This window comes from Homo sapiens, chromosome 1 (genome assembly GCF_000001405.40).
Source record: "Homo sapiens chromosome 1, GRCh38.p14 Primary Assembly".
Classification (NCBI taxonomy): Eukaryota; Metazoa; Chordata; class Mammalia; order Primates; family Hominidae; genus Homo; species Homo sapiens.
In genome coordinates this window covers 198,632,711-198,637,904 of record NC_000001.11, presented here as the reverse complement: position 1 = coordinate 198,637,904, position 5,194 = coordinate 198,632,711, and the positions used below count along the sequence as shown (strand labels likewise).

At 39.7% G+C, this 5,194-nt stretch overlaps 1 annotated feature.

Annotated features, from left to right (window-relative positions):
* Positions 3,804-4,219: a transcriptional cis regulatory region, noted in NCBI's record as "candidate enhancer chr1.10450 targeted for multiplex CRISPR interference". NCBI's record gives its function as "positively regulates PTPRC gene expression with high confidence in K562 cells {active_cell/tissue: K562}" and the evidence as "EXISTENCE:mutant phenotype evidence [ECO:0000015][PMID:30612741]".

Genomic DNA, 5,194 nt, shown 5'->3' with positions numbered 1-5,194 from the left:
CTCTAGGTAATAACCTTTTAATAAGATTGTAGTTAAGAATATTATTTTACTATGATTATTATTATATTTAACTTATGGAGCACTTACTATGTGCAGGAACTATGCTTTGCACTTTACATATATTGTATAATTTGTACGATACCCTTGAGCTAGATAATGTTATTATTCCCCATTTTATCTGTGATGTTCAGAGAGGTTAGTTGAGTTGCCTAAGATCTTGCAGCTAGGATGTAGACAAGCTATATTTAGAACCCAAGTCTCCAAGTTTAATTTTGCTTTCCTTACTCACCTTACTATTGCCCTTTATTTTTCTCATCCCTTTTACCAATCTTTTTGTACTATGTAAGTTTATAATACTCGAAAAGATAGACCTTTGAATCAGTGAAAATGAAATTATTCTCTTTTTGCAAATGTATTTTTAAATAAGATAACTGTGCAAGTAAGCACTAATTTTCATGTGGGTAGGCCTAATAAAACATCAGTGTCAGAACTCATGGATTTGAATACTCAGCTCCTCAGCCTATGTCTTAAAATACATTTGCAACAGAAAACTCTTTGGGGATTTGCTTTAAATATCTTTAAGCAAATACTTGTGTTCTGTGAGCTTGCTGTTATGGCAGAATATTTGGCAAAATTAGAGGCCAGGAGAAAAGTGTATATGATCTTTTAAAAGGAAGAAAAGTATATAAAATATACTCTATAACAATGTGAGTTTAGCAGCCTTAAACGGACATTTTAAAAGGGATTTGTGGCTTTAAAAAAATAGTAAGAAGTTAGGAGATTCAATTCCATTTCAGACAGGTGAGAAGACAGATTCTACCCAAGGAATCCAAGATAGATTAGCAACAAATGAGTTGCATTATATGTGTTAATCCAACACATATATAATGTTTTAACATATTCATTGTGTTAAAATTGAGTTTAGTGTCTATAGGAAATACTAGAATTTTAAGCAGCAAAATCTGTACTGTGTATTATAAAGGTGTAAAGACATACAGCTTGAAATACAGAGACATCAGCAGATGAATGTATATACAATTCTGATGGCTCAGAATGGAGACAGTGGCAACCCAGAGGTTTGTTAGCCTGAGGTCCAGGCTGTCAGGAGGGTAGGCAAGAGGGAAGGCCCTAGCAGCTTGTTAGGAGACAGAGCCAGGTTGTCCTTGATGGTATACTACACTAAGCCAGACATCCAGGAAGGACTCCGGGTAGCAGCTTGTCTTTCCACAGGGCATCTGGGGAAATTTCTACTGTATCACATACAGGCCTGGCATCCAAGCCTTCCGCTTGCATCAGCAGAAAACTCTCAAAGAAAACAGGAGGAGTATTTATGACATACTGATGTGATCCACTCTCACTGATTCCCAGAGGGAGGGTGGGCTGGTTGCTGATAAATGGGTATTTTGCAAAGAACAACTGAGTCTAGGAAATGGGCAGGAAGTAACACCAGATTTCATACATAGTAAATACAATGGCACTTGTTGAGTAGCTGAAAACAGTATGTATCCAAAGTCATCTCAAATTTTGATGAAGAAAATTTCAAAATAATCATAGTTAATCAACTTACAATAGATTTTTAAAAGCTTAAAAACTTAATATTTACTTAAATCAATAAAGTCATTTTCCAGATTTTTAAGGCTACCTACAGTAGAGGTTATATAAAGACAGAAACAGATTACAAGTTAACTACAGAGGCAGATGTTACTCATTTGTTCATGCATTCATTCACTCATTCATTCAACAAATACAGAGCAAGTTCCTAATGTAATCCAGTCATTTTACCTGACATGAGGAAAAAATGGTGAGCAAAAACAGGCATGCTTTCTTTCCTATCTACACTTTAGTGGAAGACACAATAATTAATTATCCAGTCATCATGACACTTTCATCACAAAGGCAATACTTCCACACTGTGATTTAAGCATATAATAGGATATTTGGTCTATTCTGGAGGTTGGGAAGTTTTCCTGGAATAAAAAGCAATGGAGCTAGACCTGAAGAAAATAAGTTAAATGAGTATGAGGAGAAGGAAAGTATTCTAGGCAGAAATAATAAATTTAAAGGAGGAGACTGTGTTCAAGGAACAGGAAGAGATGTGAGGCTGATGTAGAAAGAAGCAGAGCCTGGAAAATAAGGAGGTTTCAGAGGGAGATGATGGCCAAATCTTGCCAGGCCTTGCAGGTTCCAAGAATATGTATTTACCCTAAGAGCTATGAGGAAGTTATGAAGCATTATAAACATTGTTCTTGAATTTTCTTACCAATCGTCTCCATGTTGCCAGATTTTATACCATCATTTGTTTCTCTACCCTCATATTATGTGACTTCTTAGTAGCATTAAACAAAATCTTTCCTTCTCTAACCATTATGTTTTGTCAGCTTCCAAAACATCATTACCTACAAATTTAAATTTCCTTAACCCTTATTGGCTTTTCCTCAACAGTTGCCATATTGGGTCCTCTTCCTCTGTCTGCCCTTTTTGTCTCTTTGAGACAGTCTCAGCTCTGTCGCCCAGGCTGGAGTGCAGTGGCACGATCTCAGCTCACTGCAACCTCCGCCTGCTGGGTTCAAGTGATTCTTCTGCCTCAGCCTCCCCAGAAGCTGGGACTACAGGCACGCACCACCATGCCCAGCTAACTTTTTGTATTTTAGTAAAGATGGGGTTTCACCATGTTGTCCAGGCTGGTCTGAGCTCCTTGAGCTCAGGCAATCTGCCCACCTTGGCCTCCCAAAGTGCTAGGGTTACAGGTGTGAGCCACCGCTCCCAGACGACTTTTTTTTTTTTTTTTTTTTTTTAACCAGGGTCTCTCTCTGTTACCCAGGCTGGACTGCAGTGGTGCGATCAGGGCTCACTGCAGCTTCTACCTCCAGTGCTCAAGCGATCCTCCCACCTCAGCCTCCTGAGAAGTTGGGACTATAGGCGTACACCAACACACCCAGCTCAATTTTTTGTAGAAACAGAGTTTTGCCATGTTGCCCAGGCTGGTCTCGAACTCCTGGACTCAAGAAATCCACCTGCCTCAGCCTCCCAAAGTGCTGGGATTACAGACGTGTGGGCTACCTTGCCCAGTCTCTACCTAACTTTTAAGTACTACTAAGATACATTACAAGCTCAATTCTGTACCCACCTCTCTCTTTCTGTGTGAGCTCCTTCGTGGGAATAACTAACGAATTTATATTTCCAATCAGATCTATGATATATTTGAGATCTCTAGATTCACATTTTGCTACCACATTCTTAACTAGTCTACTAGATTGTCTCAGAGCCAACTCAACAGAACATAGAAGTCTTGACCCATCCTTTCTTTAAACCCATCCCAATTCTCAATCTTATTTATATCTGTAAATGCACCAGTATACACACAGTAACTTGCAACAGAAGCCTAATTTTTATTTTTTATTTCTTCTTTCCTGTTACAACTACTAAATCATTAACAAATCCCATTCATACTCTCTCCACCATCTATCTTGTGTTCTGTTTACAATTGTACCACTTAGAATCAAACCATCATCACTGTTCAGGCTTTTGACTAACTTCCAAGCCTCCATCTTATCTTCCTTCAGTATTTCCTCCAAAGAGAAATCAAACCGATTTCTGTCCATACAAATCAAGCTGGGATAAGTCCCTACTTAAAATCTATCAGTATTTTTCTTATTTGCATTTTTAATAAAATCCAACCTCTGTATTATTTCTCAACCCATTTAATACACTTCCACCTGGTTCACGTTATGATCTGGCCACACTGATTTTTTTCTATTCCTAGAAATGTCATGCTTTCCTATTTCAGGGCTTTAGCTCTTCATTCTTCCCAAGATGCTTTTCTGGTTCACCCCCACCAACCACTCTACATAACTTCCTTCTGGTAACAGCATAAATGTCACTTCCTCAATGGAGTTTCCCTGACCATCCTACATAAAAGAAGCCTCTCTAAGTTACTTTCTTTCTCAGAACCTTGTTTGTTTTCTCCAAATTCTGGGATATATCTGTATGTTCATATCCAACTCCCTGCCAAGAACACAAGCCTGTCCTCTAGATAAGGGGTCTCCAACCCCAGGGCTGTGGACTGGTATCCATCTGTGGCCTATTAGGAACCAGGCCACACAGCAGGAGGTGAGTTGCAAGCCATTGCGCATTACTGCTTGAGCTCCACCTCCTGTCAGATCAGCGGTGGCATTAGATTCACTAAGGAGTGCAAACCCTATTCTGAACTGCACAGGAAAGGGAACTATGTTGCATGCCCCTTATGAGAATCTAACTAATGCCTGATGATCTGAGGTGGGGTAGTTTCATCTGAAAACTATCCCCTGACCCAGCCCATGAAAAAATTGTCTTCCATGAAACCGGTCCCCAGTGCCAAAAAGGTCGGGGACCACTGTTCCGGATGATAGACCATGAGGCTTAGGCAGTACTTAATATAATGGTTGCCATATGTGATACATGTTAAATAAATGGAAGAATGAATGAGAAGATTTACACATGAAGCTGTGGCGTGGTCAACATATTGGGGGTTGGCAAGAGTAAGAATTGGGAGAACGGTGGAGAAGCTTGTGCTGTTGCACAGGCAAAGAATGATGACAGTAGAAGTGTTTACCAGTTAAATAAATTACCAAATTACTTAACTCTAGCAATTACAAAATTGTATACACATCCTTATCAATGAATGAAAATATAGGAGCACAAAGGAGAGACTACTTCTACATCTCTAAGATTTGTTCTAGAAATACATTTTTTGCATTCTGTCATTTTGTCTTTTGAAAATTTAGGCATTGAGGGCTGGGCGTGGTGGCTCACGCCTATAATCCCAGCACTTTAGGAGGCCAAGGCAAGCAGATCACTTGAAGTTGGGAGTACGAGACCAGCCTGGCCAACATGGTGAAACCCCGTCTCTATTAAAAATACAAAAATTAGCAGGGTGTGGTGGTATGTCCCCAAAATCCCAGCTACTCAGGAGGCTGAGGCACAAGAATCACTTGGACCCAGGAGGCGGAGTTATGGTGAGCCAAGACCATGCCACTGCATTCTAGCCTCGGCAACAGAGTTAGACTCCATCTAAAAAAAAAGAAAAGAAAAAAGAAAAGAAAACATAGGCATTGAGGAAAGAAATATGTGGTACCGTGTTTGGGTAAAATGCAAATACAGACAAAGACAAGTCTTACCACTGGCAAATTGACCAAGGTGGGAGGTGGTGCTGCTT